The sequence below is a fragment of the Homo sapiens genome, chromosome 10 (genome assembly GCF_000001405.40).
Source record: "Homo sapiens chromosome 10, GRCh38.p14 Primary Assembly".
Classification (NCBI taxonomy): Eukaryota; Metazoa; Chordata; class Mammalia; order Primates; family Hominidae; genus Homo; species Homo sapiens.
In genome coordinates, this window is record NC_000010.11 from 62246110 (window position 1) to 62265618 (window position 19509).

At 34.5% G+C, this 19509-nt stretch overlaps 1 protein-coding gene and 1 long non-coding RNA gene across 10 annotated transcripts in view, besides 1 other annotated feature; one reads left to right on the forward strand and one right to left on the reverse strand.

Moving 5' to 3' along the window:
* The window catches only part of RTKN2 (rhotekin 2), an 84945-nt gene that overhangs the window by 62210 nt on the left and 3226 nt on the right, over positions 1 to 19509 (reverse strand). For all 9 annotated transcript variants that reach the window (XR_945618.3, XM_017015844.3, XM_011539457.4 and 6 more), the window contains exon 2: positions 16516 to 16712. Coding sequence is in view for 8 of the 9 variants with exons in the window: in XM_017015844.3 (XP_016871333.1) it covers positions 16516 to 16712 (197 nt within the window). In the remaining variant the exon portion in view is untranslated. The remainder of the gene's footprint in view (positions 1 to 16515; positions 16713 to 19509) is intronic.
* Positions 13057 to 19509, forward strand: part of LINC02621 (long intergenic non-protein coding RNA 2621) — a 44902-nt gene continuing 38449 nt past the window's right edge. The window contains exon 1 of the long non-coding RNA NR_186389.1: positions 13057 to 13141. This is a non-coding gene — a long non-coding RNA (long intergenic non-protein coding RNA 2621). The remainder of the gene's footprint in view (positions 13142 to 19509) is intronic.
* Positions 18515 to 19016: an enhancer, noted in NCBI's record as "NANOG hESC enhancer chr10:64024383-64024884 (GRCh37/hg19 assembly coordinates)". NCBI's record gives its function as "activates a minimal SCP1, AML or CMV promoter by ChIP-STARR-seq in primed H9 embryonic stem cells {active_cell/tissue: H9 hESC(primed)}" and the evidence as "EXISTENCE:reporter gene assay evidence [ECO:0000049][PMID:30033119]".

Sequence of the window (19509 nt, forward strand, 5' to 3'; positions counted from 1 at the left end):
TTTTAACAGTGTTTCACAAATGTCAAAATATTAAAAGCAAATGCATATCCGTGAATAATAATGACTTCCAGTTAATGTAAACTATTTGACTCAAACTTTAAGATGTTTAGTCAAGTTAGCAAGTTAAAAGAAATATCTGGAGCCACTCCCGATTTTTCATATAAACTTTATATTCCTTGATGACTGTATACTGGTTACTTTACAATGAAAGACTTTTGTGATCATTTATATCTGTAAACAAGATGTACAATATTTGTCCATGTCCCCAGAAGTATAATACCTTAGATCACAATTTCATATATTACATTTCTAACTTATCAGATACAGTGGCCTGGAAAAGTTAATGAACTTCCCAATCATGCAATTTACTGTCCAGGAGTATCTTATCCTTATAGAATCTGATAAATATCCAAAAAAGTACCCTCTGCTGTATAATCATATTTAATATCATATTTAATTTCCCCAAGATTCCAAAGAACTAAGTGTATGTTAAAATAATAAATTAACAAACTAAGATGAGAAACAGAGTAGCTCTGTAGACAGAATAAAATTTAGAGAGAAAAATATTACGATTCAAAGGAAATTCTGGGGATATAAGACACTTCCAAATCTGAAGTTGGAATATTTTATTACCATGAAAACTTTAAGAAGATAGAAACAATCCAATCTTTGACTATTTCCCTAATATCCTAAATATTACGATTCAAAGGAAATTCTGGGGATATAAGACACTTCCAAATCTGAAGTTGGAATATTTTATTACCATGAAAACTTTAAAAAGATAGAAACAATCCAATCTTTGACTATTTCCCTAATATCCTATTTTCCTAATAAACTGCATTTAGAGATTAGCATTCCATTTACAGGGCAATATTTCTAAGAGTATTCTTTGTATTTTTCATTCCTATTTAATTTGGTCAGCTAATTAACTACCAGCTAATTTAATTTGTTACTTCAAATAAGTGATAAGATGGAAATTTTCCATTTGGATATTGTTTGATTCTAAGAAGGCTTCTGGAGAAAGACTGATGGGAGTTTGAAATGGGACTTTATCTAAGTAATTTTTGGAAGAGGATGACAGCAACACACTGCTTTCAGTAGGTCTGTTAAAAAGACTGCCAATATATTCATTATAATGCATCCAAATTTGAAAACAAATATATCATCCTGCTTTTTTGCCCCTTTACTGGATGAAACTCATAAATATATAGGTGACATATATTTTGAATGAGCTAAAATAATTTACTGATGTAAAGTTCATACGTTTATATGAGATATTTACATAGTATTTATAGAATTATACATTAGGTATGACTAAAATAATGCAGTATATTTAAAGCCATATATTCTCAGAATTCTACCTAATTACTTTATGGCCATATCTGGTATTAAAACTAGGGAATTCACTCAGTGAAACATACAAATACTCATTGTTTATTTCAAAATAAAGTTTCATTGAATCATAAATTTTAAAAAGAGTGAAGTTCAACATTTTATATTAGTTTGTAATGTCAGAGAAGATTATCTTGCTTATTACTTCCTCACAGAATAAAAAGTTCAATTCAACAGTTCAATTGAACAGTTTATTATCTATTTTGGTGAAATAATATATTGAAAGGCCCACTAGAAATCAAACACAAATCTCAATTTCTTCAAACTTGTGCAAGAAATACAATACAAACATAATTGGTTGGCATTTGAAAGTAATATTTCTGAAAATGCCTATATGAGCAATGCATAATATAAATTCTTAAAATACTTATTTCAGTGAAAAAGTACAAGGAAGCTCAAATATAGTGAATAACTTAAGTATTATGGAATAGGTCACAGATTATTCTAAAGTTGAGATCCATTAGGTATTATTAAATTGGATTAAATTTGAGGCTTTGGCAGGCGAATGAAATTCTGAAATACTAGAACTACCAAAAGCAAACTTGCTGAATATTTACCAAGAAAAATTTCCCCCTTCCAAACTACTCAACTACCTGGCAGAGTATAGCTTTCTCCCCTGCAATTATAAATTATTTGCATAGGCATTTCCAGGACTGGTAAGCAAACTTAGTATACACAAATATTGTCAAACTATAATATAAATTCAATTAACCATATAATCTTAGAGAATTAAGTCTGTCTTTTAAAAAATGAGAGGAGAAAAACTGAAGTAATTCAGCCTCAATTTTCTGAAGCTTGAATTACTTTCAATTCAAATAACAAAACTGCTATTTAGGGTACTAAAATGTGATGTTTTTCTAATTAATCCAAATTGACAATGAAATTGTTAAACACTATCTGTCTAATAATGTGCTACTGTAGCTAACAGTTTGCTTAATATAAATACTTGTTCAAAAATCTGCAATATTAATTCTAATTCTGAATGCTAGAATTAGAGAGCCAGCCTGAGGAAATAGCAAATAACCACAAAATTACCAAAACAAAGCACAGCTAGATAATAGTGGACCTTATCCATATGAACCCAGTCTAGAGAATTATTTTGGCTGAGATTTGTAAATGCTAATTTAAAAGACAGAGATAAACATATAAAAGACAAACTTAATTTTTATTACTTATATTTCTGCCTGTAGGTAAATAAAATGACCAAAAGAGGGTGCCAATCTGCCACATTGTTGCTCAAAAATTTGTATTAAAATTGACTGAGTAAATACAGATTATCCTACCTTATATTGTTCCAAGCGGGAATTTAAAACAGCATTTCTTTGCCAAAATTAACAAGTTATAATGAGAAATAGCCCAATGATGAAAGCATTTTACATTTTCTTAACGAAGTACTAAAATAATTCTAAATGGGAGTCTATTATTTGAAAGCAGGTTATAAAATCCTTTACCTCTGATACAAATAAGTAAAAATTAAAACACTCAAACGTTTAGCATGAAATTTTAACCCATCCTAAAACTATGCTATAAAATTTATAGCTTCATAAATATCTTAAAAATAAAATCGGTAATGTCTTTAAATACAAGTTTTATTATAGAACTAAGAGTACACAATTTTCACTTCCAACCTATACGTTTTCTTTTTTGAGATACAGTACCTGAGCAATGAACAAAAACACTGGAGGATGAGAGAGTAGGATAATAATCATACAAAGCTCACAAAATTATTTTGGCAATATTAAAAATCACAATTATGTTGAATGACACACATAATTCAGTGCTATAAATGACACTGATTAGTATTGTTTTTACAAAGCCAAATAAAGCATTTCAGAAGTAGGTCAAGAAGAATGAACTGGGTTGAGCAGGGGTTGCGGGGTTGGGGGGTGGTGGGGGCAGTGGGAAGGGCACAGATGGAGGATATTGCTGAAATATAAGCTCCGTGTGTACTTTTTTTGTGCGTGGGGGTGGGGGTGGGGCGTCTACTTTGTTCAGTGCTCTATCACCAGTGCTTGGTATTCAGCTCAGTACATTCTAAAGAACTCAATGAATGTTTAGGGACTGTTAAATGAAATGAAGTAAGGATACGTTCATTTTGATGGAACAGGCAGTAGATAGGGATTCTAAAGTCTTAGAATTGGATTTTACTCATTATTAACTAATTACATAAGTGGGTTGCTATTAATCTTTTAACCTCAGCATCTTTATCTGTAAAGTGGCAAAAAGATTCACTATCTCACAGAGATACTAAATGAATTAATATTTTAAATGTATCCTATGTCATTCTTCAAAATGTTACACAAATACAAGGATTACTTTCTGAGTATTTATATTTTTGGCCTCAGTATTTAGGTTGGGGCTCACATAGAAGAGGCACTAAACCATTTGTTAAAGTGATCAGGGAATGACTTACCAGTTCCTGTAAAACAGTAGTAGCCATCTAAATCAGATTATTTTCACACATTCTACAAAAGCCTTCAGATCAACAAGGAAAGCAAATAAAATGACCTACAGTCCACACCAACAGCATAGCTAGAAAACAGAGACTTCTACAAATTTTAATTTACCGTAAATGGGGAAACTAACATCTGAAACCGTCAAAACCAGCTTGTAGAAGCCTTGCATATAAGAATGAGGTGGGCATTGCAAAACACAAGCAATATCAACTTGGGATTTCCCCTAGAAGAAGTGTGAATGGGTCTAAGACCTAGTGGATACCAGAGCACTGGTTCCAGGAGAGGTAAAAGAAAGGGCTCCAAAAGTACTTTGATTCAAAAGTTAAGTCCTGTAAGATACACAAGAATGAGTGAGGTGTCCTTTGGAGCCTTGGCTACGAAGAAAAAGAAGGAAGAAAGTAGACGAAGTTTAATATTCCAAGAAACACTAGTTTCAAACATTAGTATCAAAGAACAGAAAATTAACCAACCAGCATCCCAAAAGACATCATTTATTAAGGAAACTACTCTTCACAGTTCCAATAATAAAAAACATTCTTGAACTAAGAAACCAAATACAGTATTCTCTTCTTAGCCATGGTTTTGCTTTCCATGGTTTCAGTTGTCCAGAGTAAACTGCAGTCTGAAAATATTAAATGAAAAATTCCAGAAATAAATAATTCATAAGTTTTATTATTTTTATTTATTTTTGAGGAAGGGTCTCACTCTGTTGCCCAGGCTGAAGTGCAGTGGCATGATCTCGGCTCACTGCAACCTCCGCCTCCTGGGTTGAAGCAATCCTGCCACCTCAGCTTCCTGAGTAGCTGGGACTACAGGCACATGCCACCATGCCCAGCTAATGTTTATGTTATTTGGTAGAGACAGTGTTATACGATGTTGCCCAAGCTGGTCTCGAACTCCTGGATTCAAGTGATCCACCCACCTCGGCCTCCCAAAGGGCTGGGATTATAGTCATGAGCCACTGTGCCTGGCCTAACAATTCATAAGTTTTAAACTGCACACCATTCTGAGTAGTGTAATGAAACCTCACACTGCCCTGTGGGATGTGAATCATCCCTTTGTCCAGTGTATCCATGCTGTACACATCACCTGCTCATTAGTCACTTAGCTGCCATCTAGATTATCAGAGTAACTCTCAAGGTATCACAGTGCTTGTGCTCAAGGTCCACAGTAGCCTAATGCTATACCACAATGCCTATGACATTCATCTCATTTAAACTCATCACAAAAGCAATTTATCACCTCACATCATCACAAAAAGGGTAAATATTTTGAAAGAGGGAACACATTTGCATAGCTTTTATTACAGTATATTGTTATAATTGTTCTATTTTATTATTAGTTATTGTTGTTCATCTCTTACTGTGCCTAATTTACAAATTAAACTTTATCATAGGGGTGTATGTATAGGAAAAAACATAGTGTGCATAGGGCTTAGTATTATCTGTGGTTTCAGGAATCCAGGAAGGATGATGGAACATACCCCCTCAAGGGTAAGGTGTCCTGTGATCCCTTCTAGTAACCTCCCACCTGACTTCTAATCACTTGGCTCAGAAAAATCCTACATATTTCATTAGGGACAAAAATGGACTCCAATTACCCATAGAAAACTACTATAAATAAAAGTAGATAATCAAAACTCTTCATTTGATTAAAATCCTCTACCAACTCCACCTCCAAAAAATATAAAGTAACAAAAACCATAACACAATACTCCAAAATGAATTAAGTGCATTTATACAAATTATTGCAAATATGAAAGAAACCAGGAATCTAAAATCCAAAATTTGAGACTAGTAAAGAATAAACAATAGGCAGATATGCAAAGAGAGGAGAGAATGAGAGGAAAGAACAAGGAGAGAAACTGGAAAAATAAAATCATTTCTGAAATGAACATTAAAATATAAGGTGTCCAATGATAAATATATAGAAGCAAAAGTACACAAAGAGACATAGTAAATGGGAATGAAAAGAACCAAAAGAACAAAAATGAAATAAAGTATTAAAAAAGATCAGAAAGTGATAGACACAGAGGACAGGCAAAGAAGAGCCAACGTATATGTAATCAGAATTCTTAAACAGGAAAAACAAAACAATGAGATAGAAATAATATTTTTATATAATTCAGAAAGATGTTCTGAAAATAAAAAAGAACAATCTACATATCAAAAGAGCCCCAAAATGTGCCAAATGGTCAGCCTTACACACATTCCAGTAAAATAATCAGACTTTAAGATAAAGAAAAGTACTTTCAGTCTCCAGGCAAAAAGTCAAACTCATTTACAAAGGAAAGAAAATGAAAGATTAGATTTCTTAATAACAATACAATGGAGCAAAGTCTTCACAAAACTCAAGGAAAGAATGTGTTGGCTAAGGAATTTATAACTAGCAAAGTCACCCTAAAAGTAGAAACACTAAAGAAAAACACCTTAAACATGCAAGAAAGTGAAGGAAACCGTACTCATGTGGAAGAATCTTCTAGCTGATGAACTTCTTCCAAAAGGATGATTTTGGAAAGTACAACGGAAGAACAAGAAGTGAAAATTATACCTATTTAATTGCATATCAAAGACTAAAACAAAGGTGAAGATATGACTATAAGATTATTATGTAAATATTATCCATTCCACCAAAGTAGAAATAACACAACTTGAAAAAAAAAGTGGAGTAGGGGAAATACAATAAGCTCATTGATCTTGACATAGATAGTAGCTGGAAAAAAATGATATTACTAAAAGCAAAAAATCAAAATAGCAGAAGCCTGAGTTAGGCCATTCTTGCATTGCTATAAAGGAATACCTAAGGCTAGGTAAATTAAGAAGAGGTTTAGTTGGCTCGTGGAGCTAAGGGAAATACATAAAAAAACTTATAAGAACTAAGGGCATTATATAGTTATCGGTATATAAAGTTTTTTTATATAAAATTATAGTAACTACTATGACTTATAAAATGCTTCCAAAATTTAAGAAAACAGACCACATAGTAAAAGACTAATTATAATACACACAGTTAACATAATATAAAAGAATATTACAGTGGCTGAAACCAGATATATCAGTTATATCAGTAAATATAAAATGTCTTAATTTTCCCATTAAAAGGATTTCCAGATTGGCTTGTAATATAAAACCCAACTCTAGGATGAACACAAGAAACAAGTCTTCAAAGGTGAGTCAGAAAGGCTAAAAATAAGGAGATGGACAAAGATGTATGAAACAAATACAAATAAGAAAACAGAGGATGTGATTTTGTTACCAGGCAAAATTCAGGTTCAAAAACATTACCTGAGACAACAACAGAAGGACACTTTATAATGCAAAAGGCTGCAGCTAACAATGAATATATCGCAAGTACCGAATGTACCAAATGTTACAGAGCATCTTCCTAAAGCACAATGTACAGAAGATACAAGGATGAAGACAAGCTTTAATAATAAAAAATCTTAACCTATCTGTTTCAGTACAAGACAGTTCAATGGGTCAAAAAATAAGGAAGGTTACAGAAAACCTAACACAGTCATTAACACAGATCTTTCGAACTCCTTTGGCTAACTTTACACCCTTATAAAAAGAAATGTAACTTCAAAAGCCAATGTGACAGTCATGAAAACAGACCATATTAAGTCATAAAGAAAACCTCAACATGTTCCATAAAGTAGAAAAAATAAAAATTTATTTGATTAAAATGCAATTTTAATCAATTAAAATTCCTCTTTTGGTAATGGCAGAGTAGCTCATGCTGGAGAAATCTTCCCACAGAAAACAATAAAAAATATAGAAAAACTATTTTAAAAACATCTACCTGAAGTGACTGGCATGTGACCAAAACTATACAGAAATTTGAAAAGAATCAACACTGGAAAAAGTGATACAGTGGAAAAAAAATAATTGATACATGATGAATCTCAAAAGCATTATGCTGAAAGAAAGAAACCTCCACTGTATAGTTCTATTTATACTAAGTTCCAGAACAGGCAAAATTAACCTACAGTGGAAAAAAAAGTCAGAATAGTGGCTGATTCTTGGGGTGGGAACCGTGACAAGAGCTACTAATTGGAAACTGGGAAGGAGGACACAGAAACACTATCTATCCAAAAAAGTAATTAATTCAAAGAGAAAAAAAGCAAACAGAAACAAATAAGTCTGTTTATGATTTAATAACAAGACCATAAGAAAAAGTTCATTGATATGGTTTGGCTCTGTGTCCCACCCAAATCTCATGTTGAATTGTAATCCCCAGTGCTGGGGGAGAGACCTGGTGGGAGGTGATTGAATCATGGGGGCGGATTTCCCCCTTGCTATTCTCATGATAGTGAGTTCTCAAGAGATCTGGTTGTTTAAAAGTGTGTAGCATTTCCCCATTAGTTCGCTCGCTCTTCCGTCGCCATGTGAAGGAAATGCTTGCTTTCCCTTCACCCTTTTGCCATGACTGTAAGTTTCCTCAGGCCTCCAAGCCATGCTTCCTGTATAGCATGCAGAACTGTGAGTCAATTAAACCTCTTTTCTTCTTAAATTACCCAATCTCAGGTGGTCCTTTATAGCATTGTGAGAACAAAGTAATACAATTATTTCAAGTAATTTTTGAGTACTCTCCACCTATATCCACAGGGATGTACATATATGTGTATATATACGTATACACACACAAAGAACTGCAAAGAACTTATTTTAAATTGTGTCATAAAGAAATAAAATAGATTAGGCTGAACATGGTGGCTCACGCCTGTAATCCCAGTGTTTTGGGAGGCTGAGGTGGGAGGACTGCTTGAGGCCAGGAGTTCAAGATCAGCCTGGGCAAGATAGCAAGACCCTGTTTCTACAAAATAAAAAAATAAGCAAGCTGAGAGACAAAAAATAAATAAGTTAGCTGGGTGTGTTGGCATGAACCTGTAGTCCTAGGTACTTGGGAGGCTGAGGCAGGAAGATCACTTGAACCCAGAAGTTTGAGGCTACGGCAAGCTATCATTGTGTCACTGCACTCTAGCCTGGGAGACACAGTGAGACCCTGTCTCTAAAAAAATTAAAAAATAAAAATGAAATAAAATGGACTGGACAGAGGGATAAAACAAATATTAACTGTAGAACCTTAGTGGTAGGTATATGGGTATTCACTGTATAATTCTTTCAACTTTTCTGTATGTTGGAAAATTTTCATAATTTCTGTATGTTAAAAAAGAATTGTAAGGAAATCTTGAACTTGCCTAAGTAGGTTTATTGTCAGTAATAATATTGGTACTGTAATCAAAAACCTATAAATATTGATATAAACTCATGATTTTTTCATCTCTTTCATCACTATGTCCACTGAAAAAGCCTAGAAGCAGTGATACCCCAGGAACCGTGAGCATACCTAGTGCCCAGGTTTGGCATTCAAAATATGATTCACCAGTAAAGGGAGCCAGGTGTCAGAGAAATGGCTGACTCTAGGCATGGGGCAGGGAAAATATAAAGCAAGAATGGATCGTCTTTTTGTGTCAGGAAGCAAGAGATTCTTAGTGACTATAAATGATAATAAAACATTGAATAAAAATCCAGGAATGGAGAGACTAAAGAGAGGATTGTCCTTCTTTATAGAAGAGTATCAGCCAATAAGTGTAGAAGGAATACTAGAATTAGATAATCACAGTTTTACAAACCCCATTATAAATGTAATTGATTTAGGGAAGAATCATAAATGGATGATAAAGCCATTAAGTTAAAGCTCATTGGATAACAGAATAGTCACCCAATTCCAACACCCCACAGATTATTTATGAACTGCAAAGGGAAAACCATTTTATCATGAAGAAGAAAGCTGGCAACTGCCATCTAAAGCAAGGGTTTAAACTCAGCATTACCTGGTGGTAAGACCAGATATCATATTGCATCAATTGGGAGCATATAATGGTCCCCAGCCTCACCTAGAAAAAAATGTTTAACTTGAGTCTGATAAAGCCTTTAGACTCAATGTCCATCTATGGCAAAAACACAGAATATGAGAAAAGGTTCAATGATACTTCAGGGAAACAACCAGGCAAATGCAGAATGCAGGATACTTTAAAGGCTATATTTTTAAAATCTAGACTCTTTTTTTTTTTTTTGAGACAGGGTCTTACTCTGACGCCCAGGCTGGAGTGCAGTGGCATGATTGTCGCTCACTGCAATCTCAAGCTTCTGGATGCAAGTGATCCTCCTGCCTCAGCCTCTTGTGTAGCTGAGATCATAGGCACACACCATCACACCTGGCTAAATCTTTCTGTATTTTTTTGTAGAAACGAGGTCTTATTATGTTGCCCAGGCTGGTCTTGAACTCCTGGGCTACAGCCATCCTCCCACCTCAGCCTCCCAAAGTCTTGGGATTACAGGCGTGAGCCACCATTCCTTGCCGAGGCTCTTCTAAGTATAAATGACAAGGGGTTTTTAGAAATAGGCAGAGTAATTAAAAGAAACTGGAGTTATAACCAAATGTACTGCATAGATCTTGACTGAATTCTGGTTTGGGGGAAAAAAAGATAAACAGTTTTCTTCTGACAACTTGGTAAAATTGAATATGGACGGGATATTAGATTATTATGGAATTACTAATATTTTGTATATAATATTTTGATTATGTAGAAGAATGTTATTTTTAAAAGATCCATGCCAAATTATTGTGGTGTGTGTGCCATGTTGTCTGCAACTTATTTTTAAATGGTTCAACAACAAAAAAGAAAAATGTGTGCATGTATACACATGCTAGTATGTGTATTTGTGTATGCGTGTGTGTGTCTGTGTGTGTATAGAAAAAATGGTAGAGTAGATGAAGTGAATATATATAGCAAGCTATTAACTGGACAACCTAGGGGGAGAATATACATGATGTTGATTGTACTATTCTTGTAATTTTTACGTATGTAAATTTCATAATAAAAAGTTGATTAAAAAGCAAACATAGTTAGGAATAAATGACAATCTGGAACATGATGAACAGACACTTAGACCAACAAATGACAGTAAGAACCTAAGAACATAAAAGAAGGTGACAAAAAAAAAAGTAACTGGTATATAATTAACTCCTATTAAATTCTAAGCCCTATTTGCTCATCATACACATTAAGGGGATACAAGGCAAAACTTTATTTATGAAGCATACATTAAATTGTTCTTAAGTAAGTACACAACACTGTTGGTGTTCTGCGGGATATAAGGTAGAAAGAAGGAGAGAACCAAGAGTTACCTCAGCTATGAGTTGCCTCTAAGCTCCAGGCACCAAATCCTCACAGTAATCCTGTGAAATTAATGGTGATATCAATTCTATTTCACTGATAAGAAGAATCAGACATTGTCCCTGTTTCCAAAAGCTTATAATTTATGAAAAGATATGTTGCTTATAAATAGCTCTATTAGAATTTAGTATGTTATAGTGAGGTATTCATGATTTGGATGGTACTAGAAGTAAAAGGAGGTAAATAGTCATTTTTTGGGTCCTTACCATGGACATAAAGGAATAATTATTTTCTGAATACAATTATCAAGGAAACTTTGAGGCAGGTGTGGTGTCCCAGAACAAGTGGGTTTTATCAAGTGAGAATGAAAGATATGGCACTTCAGTGTAAGCAAACACACTGGAGATGTGAAAATCCAAGAACTATTTTCGGGATACCAATCAAGCATTTGGCTGCAATAAATTTGTAAAGCAGAAATTGAAAGATAAGAGTGCAAGGAGTTTGGGATCAGACCACAAGGATTCTGGAATGCCTATTTCAGTAAATGGAAACCAATAGCTATTTTTTGAAAGTAGACTGAAATAAACCATCTTTTAAGTAGCCATATCCAGCCACAGCATGCAGAAAAAAAGGTACAATGATAGTTTACTAGTCAAAAGTCCAGCAAATTAACAGACTGCTATAACCAAGCCACGATACCTCTAAATTGAGGCAGTAAGCAACCTATGCACCTCATCCTAACGACCTACTGCCTACCCAATCCAGAAAGGTTTTTACATCCTGACTCCATTGGGAACTGTACAGAAGCCTGGGTATTTTGGCTTGTTCAAGCATAAAGAACAGGCAATGTACTAGGTATTTCATACCCAAACACAACTTAGAAAAAAGTTTTTGTTATATTATTGGAACAGTATGGTAATAGAACATTTAACCAGTTGCCAATATTCTCAGGATTGTGTGGTTTTAAAAAAACAACAAATGATATTAGTGATTTCTTAACTGTGGTTCCTCATCTAAAGCAGAGTAACCATTGATTGAATTCTTCCAAGGGTGGTACAAAAGTAGCACTATTCTATATGCAGCAGTTAAGTCAATGCATACAATGAACTTCTTAGGACATTAGGACTTAATTCTTTCCTGGAACCCGAGTTTTAAAAGGCTTTAGAATGAAGTAAGATTATTTGACTTCTTAAATAATTTCACTGGATTGAGAAATAACTTAAAACTTCTTGCAGAATGATTATGTACAGAGAGCACTTTGAGTGAAGATCTATTAGAAAAGCCCTAAAGAAATCCACACACAGTTTTGATTTCCTCATTTCTCTAATAAAAGCTTACTTCTTTATATGATCATTTCTATGTCTGCCTATTCTTAAATATTTTCCCTAAAAACTGGTTATTTCAATTATTTACTCTCATCTTTTTAATACCCTGCTGCCAAATAACCTTCCCCAAATACTTGTTTTTATCATACTTCTTCCTTGCTTAAAATAAAATGATAAAACATAACAGGATATAGAATATTCAAGATTTTTTTAATTCCAGAATTCAATAATTAAGAGAAACAATGTTTTTATATGAATGATGAAGAAATATACATGTGTATATGTAACATAAAAGATATTTTCACGGGTAAGCAAATATATATATAAAGCCCTGTAATAGCTCACCATGGCAGCTTGGAGCAATAGTTAAAAAAAAGCACAGGTTCTTTTTTGGACGGAGTGGGAGATGGAGGTACATGGGTTTTTAAGTCACCTGGATTCATGACCTAGCCACAAAGGCACTGTGTATCCTTAAAGAGTTACAGCCTTTAAAAGAGGTTTATATCTGATATGGTTTGGCTGTCTCCCCACCCAAATCTCATCTTGAATTGCAGCTCCCATAATCCCCATGTGTCATGGGAGGGACCATCAGGAGGTAACTGAATCATAGGGGCAGGTTTTTCCTGCACTGTTCTCATGATAGTGAGTAAGTCTCCCAAGATCTGATGGTTTTATAAAGGGCAGTTCCCCTGCACATGATCTCTTGCCTGCTGACATGTAAGAGATGACTTTGCTTCTCCTTCGCCTTCTGCCATGACTATGAGGCCTCCCCAGTCATGTGAACCGTGAGTGCATTAAACCTCTTTTTCTTAATACTCAGTCTCGGGTATATCTGTATTAACAGTGTGAAAATGAACTAATACAATATCTTTCTCCATTTTTAATGTGATATTTGTGAACATCTTACACAATGCCTGGCACCTGGAAAGGCTGTTAATTAATACCAAAGAACTCTGTAGCATTCCAGGCTTTCTTGAATCTTGCTTCCTCCTTCCTTTTCATCTTTGCCTTGATCTTCAGACTCAACACAACAGATCTTTTCCCTGCTCCTGAATAATTCATATTTATTTTTCAAAGTAAATTTTTCTTTTGCTATTTCTTTTTGAGACAGAATCTCACTCTTTTGCGCTGGCTGGAGTGCTGTGGTGCAATCACAGCTCACTCCAGCCTTGATATCCCAAGCTTGAGCAATCCTCCCGCCTCAGTCTCTTGAGTAGCTGGGAGTACAGGCACATGCCACCATGCCTGGCTAATTTTTGTCTTTTTTGTAGAGACAGGTTTTTGCCATGTTGCCTAAGCTGATCTCGAACTCCTGAGCTCAAGCAATCTGACCACCTTGGCCTCTCAAACTGTTGAGATTACAGGTGTGAACCACTTCACCCGGCCTCTTTTGTAATTTTTCTCGGAATGCTGCCTTCCTCCTGCTCACCTACCTGGACTCTATCCATCCTTCACAATCTAGAAGATCCAAACCCAATTGTTCTATTAGATATTCGTCAATTCCACCATTTCACACTTATTGGATTCTTCTTTGAAAAAGTCTAGATTTAGTGTCTATACTTATTTTTTGACATCTTATCATAAAATTTAGAGAAGGTAGACTAGTGTTCTCATTAAAATGCTATTTGTTTTAACTCTGGCAGCAATATAAAACTGAGCATTTTTCCACCTTAAGGACTAACCAAACTAAGGTACAGACTGCTAAGTCTCTAAAGGCAAAATATTTGCTGAATATACAATATTGTCATATTTTGACAAATTCTGTTCTTTTAACATAGACACCCTAGCACAGGGCTTAATAAGTGTTCTGCAAGCGGTAGATATTCAGTATATCTGCATAATTTACATAACTTTCTTCAAGGAACTAAATCATTAATCTTCAAGTCATTTTTGTGTAATAACAAAGCAATTATAATTTCTAGTTATATCTGATCAGTCACCTCAGGTTATATCTTCACATACAAAATGAAGCTATAAACAAAGAATACATATAGACTATACAAGATTTTTTTAAATTCCAGCAATAATTAAGGGAAACACTGTTTTTACATGAATGATGAACAAATATATGTGTGTGTGTGTGTGTGTGTATAATGACAAAGATATTCTCATCTATCACAGATAATTAGTAAAGAAACTGAAAATCATACACATTTCCAGTTAGGGATCCTAATTTTTCCCCATCACTGCTATATAAATTGAACAGGCATTAGGCTTATTTAATAGTTTTTATACATCAGCAACTTCAGAAAAGCCACACTGCCGAATTTAAGAAACAGTCAATTCATAACTCATTATAAATATTTAAAGAGCATTAAATATGGAGGCAGATATGGTCCCAAAAATAATATTCCAGATATTGTGATAGATGACATAATATAATGTTTAGTCCCATACTTTCTAAAATCAGGGCTTCTCAAACTTTTCCATTGAAACTGCCCCTCTTGACAAAATATCCTAATAAAAAGGCTGAGAGGGAACATATATCCCCTATCCCCAGGAATAAGAAAGCAGAACCTCCAAATACTCCACTATTCTAAACTTCTCATGCTTAATCTTAAAAATTCATGCTCTAAGAAGACATGCCATATTTATTCTATGACTTTGCATCATGTACTCTCAGTGCTACAAGTTACCAACTTTGAGAAGCACTCACTTAAACCAATGTATGCCTATCTGAAAAACATTTTCCTACATTATGCTAATGGAACAATTTCATTGTATAATGCTGGAGGCATATAAGAATGAAAACTGACATTTGTTGAGTACTAAGTATGTAAAAGGCATTACATTAGGTTTTTGTATATATAAAATCTCAATTTTCAAAATGTAAATATTATCATGCCCACTGTAAGGAAGGAACTGAGGCACAAGGAGATTAAAATAGCTATCCCGGCAGGGCACAGTGGCTCATGCCTGTAATCCCAGCGCTCTGGGAGGCCGAGGTGGCCAAATCACGAGGTCAGGAGATTGAAACCATCCTGGCTAACATGGTGAAACCCCATCTCTACTAAAAATACAAATACAAAAAAAAAATCAGCTGGGTGTGGTGGCACACGCCTATAGTCCCAGTTACTCGGGAGGCTGAGGCAGGAGAATCGCTTGAACCCGGGAGGCAGAGGTTGCAGTGAGCTGAGATCACACCACTGCACTCCAGCCTGGGTGACAGAGCGAGACTCTGTCTTTAAAAAATAAATAAATAAATAAAAGCTATCCCATGGCAATATAGCTAATAAGGTTGGCTACTTTGTATCCAGGTCTCTATTACATTACATCCTCATCAAAATTTTACTTTTACAGAAATCTCAGACTCTGACTGGTGTTTTTAACTTACTTTTCAAGAATTTAATGATGCTATGCTGAGCCCAACAGTCACTATTGTCTAACAAGAAACTCTTCCCTTGTGTCAGAGCTGTGAATCAACAAAGGGGAATGTAAGACTGTTTTTATTTAAAATACACCAAAATCCAGCCTCTAAATTGAACCAATTCTTAGGTTCAAGTAAGATTTGGCATTGTAAAAAGTTAGGATATAAATTTCATATACAAATCATAGATCTAATCTAAAAGAACAGCATGAGATGACAGAACACATGAGCAGAAGTTATTAATACTTAGCAAATCTTAAATCTCATTAGCTTCCATCACTTGTTGCATGAATGTCCTTGAGGTTTTTTGCCTCTCTGGGACTTATGTTCACCATATCAAGAGATGGGCTAGCAGATTTTTAAGTTCCTTTCCATTCATAAGGTTTTATCTCTTTATAATTTTGCTGCTCACTCATCTCAATTTCTATACTTGAGTTTCCATGTCTCACAGCTAGTACCTTTATATTAGCATATTTCTAAGCAATTAATTTTCTTACTCTACATTTCTATCAATATTGGTACTTTCTTCTTAAAATGCTCCCTCAGTCATTGCTTCTGGATAATTTTCATTTTATAATTACATATTGAACACAACAGCCCAATAAAAGCTGCTGCCTAAGTTCACTCTGAGCTGTGTCGGCAAACTGTTTATGATGTCAGCTGCTACTTCAGTGTATTTGTTTTTTAAAACAGTTTGGTGATTTGACATTGGTACTTAAGCTTAAATTATACTGTGTTTTAAATTTACATATTTAAGTACATTAAAAGCCACAGGTAAACTATGTTACTAACCATCTTCCAGTCTGATTTGCAATCTGTTCTTCTAATTTCTGTAGCTCCGATGTATAGGCCATTAGTCGAGCATTGCACACCATGAGATTCTTAACTGCATGTAAAACTTGATCTTTCTGAGTGCTCAGAGAAAGGAGTTTCCATATTCCTTCTCGCATTCGAATTTCTAAGTCTATTTTTTCTTGAATGTTGCAGTCCTAAAAAAAAAATGCATCTTGAAAATATAGCAAAAACCCAAAATTACATCTTAACCCATAATAGATCGAAAATAGGTATCATAATTGTATACCATATTGAGAAAGCAACAAAGTTTTAATATATGTAGTGTAAAAATAGCTATTTTAAAATGCTCTTTGCAATTCTAAACTTCTTGCTTCATTAGGAAGTCTTTACAATCTAAAGAAACGGAATAAACGAACATAAACAAAGGTGAGAAACATTATGTGTTCTTATAACTATACGAAGTTTAATAGCATCCCTCCAAAATTTATGTCCATCCAGAACCTCAGAATGTAGCCTTATTTGGATACAGGGTTTTGCAGATGTAATTAGGTAAAATGAGAACATACTGGATTAGAGTGGGTCCTAAATCTAATGACTAGTGTCCTTAAAGAAAGGTCCCATGAAGACACAGTCACATACAGAGAGAATGACATGTGAAGACAGAGACTAATATGTCTATAAGCCAAAAAAATACCAAGGATTGATGGCAACAATCAGAAGCTGGAAAAGGCAAGAAAGGAATTCTTTCCTAGGGCCTGCAGAGGAGCATGACCCTGCCAATTCCTTGATTTCAGACGTCTGGCCTCCATAAGTTTGAGAATAAATTTCTCTTGTTTTCAGCCACTCAGTCTTGGTCATTTGTTATAGCAGCCTTAGAAAACATACAATAACTAATGTGAACAATATATCACACATATATATTATATACATTGTATTAAGAGATGGCAGTGTGGTTGATGACAGTGAATTAACCAAGAAAAACATTCTGAAAAAAGCAGATACTGAGTAAAGGAGCCAAGGTTTAGTAGCAGGGAGGAAACAGGCTATTTGTAACAGTAGGCAGTGTAAATACAATCTCAGAAGCAAGAGAGTGAAAGCGCTGTACACTGAAAATGTCAGAAGCCTTAGCTATCTGGAACAGAGCTTTAGAATACAATTCTGGACATACCATTTATTTTAGTTTTAGGGTTCACCATGAAACTACTAAGTATTTTATTGCTGAAAGTCTTTTATTCCATATAATTATCTTTTAATGGCCTGATTCTACATATAAGTTTCACACGCAACATTAAAATTCTACAAACTGAATGTACAGTTCTGATTTAATTCACAATGACTTTATAAAAATTATAAATCAAAGGTACTCTTTATTATATCACAAACATGTAATGTTTCTGGTATGTCTATTTCTAAAACATAAAGTGACCATCCTAGTTTCTATGGCAAAAAAATAAAGACTATAATTTACCTTCTGAATGGATCAAAATGTAAATTTAAAAATGTAAATGAAATCTAATACCAAAAGGTCTATACAACCTTTTCAAAAAGAAAAGATGAAAGTTAGGAGAGCTAATAGTTTTTGAAGACTACCCCAAAAGACAAACTACAGTAGATGATTTAACTTGACTATCCAAATCAATCAACTGTACTATTTACACACAGAAAACAGCTGTTTAATTACCTTCTGTAATTACATCATGTAATCACCACATAAAAACCTTCTCATATAGTGTTGTAACTCAAAACTGGTGTACTATATAAATGTAGTCATTTGCTGGTTTTCCTTCATTACACATGACTGAATTTCAACAACTCCATTTCATCTTTTTATGACTTACTAGCCCCAAAGTAAATTCTTCTTCAATGTAATTAGCAATTAATTATAAGAATTATCTATGTGACCCATATGTCTATAGAAATAAACTCTGGCAGACTGACTATATTGGGGAGTGCACATAGGGAGCAACCTAAAGCTGGGATGAATAGCTTTACCCCACAACTCAAATATAAACAAATACCATCTGGTGCCACTAAATTCAACTTTAGTTTTAAATGATACAATGAAACAGGCAGTTGAACTAGCACAGTGGTTCTCAAAGCTGGCTGCATATTAGAATCATCTGAGGCAGAGAGGAAGGGCCTTATAGAAGTACCTAAACCTGTGACCTACCCCAAACCAATCAGGCTCTCTGGAGGTGGGGCTTGAGCATTTTTTTTTTTTTTTACAGTTCCTCTGGTGATTCAATGGTCAGCTAGGGTAGAGAAGCACAGCTGGACTATTTGAAATTCCACAGCAATCTTGAAACTTGCAACAACCTTAAAGAACCAGCAGGTGGCTACAGCCACATTAAGGAATCAGTTTGTGTTTCTATCACATAAATGAAGAGTATCTTCTCACCATCACTTATAATGAAGACTCCATAAAACTATAGAAGCTTGGGAAATAGTAGAGAAAGAAAATGTAAAGTCAGGATTAAAAAAAAAATGTACGTGTAAAAAGTTTGAAGATGATGTAAGATTAAAGTACTATTTATTAAGGAAATGAGGTGTATCTAACAGATACTACTATTAAGATTTTTTCCTTTAGAGCAAGGGTCAGAAAACTATGGCCTGGCTGGGACCTGGTTTTGTAAATAAAGTTACACTGGAGCACAGACACACTCATTCATATTGTCTATGGCTCCTTTAAGCTACAAGGGCAGAGTTGAGCAACTTCAACAGAGACTGAGTGGCCTGCAAAGCTGAAAATACTTACTGTTTGCCCCTTTATAGAAATAGTTTACTGACCCATAATCCAGCCAAATTAACATACACAGTAAACTATAATCTTACCTCCCTCGCTGAGGCAGGTCTCAGGCAAATGTCAGTTAAGTGGATCCCAGAAGGCTAACATAAGCAGGATGAATTGTTAAGTGTACATATGGTTTTCAATGTATTCTGAGCTGTTGGTTTTTTTTTTTTTCTTAAGGCTACTGTTTTAGCCAGTTTTGT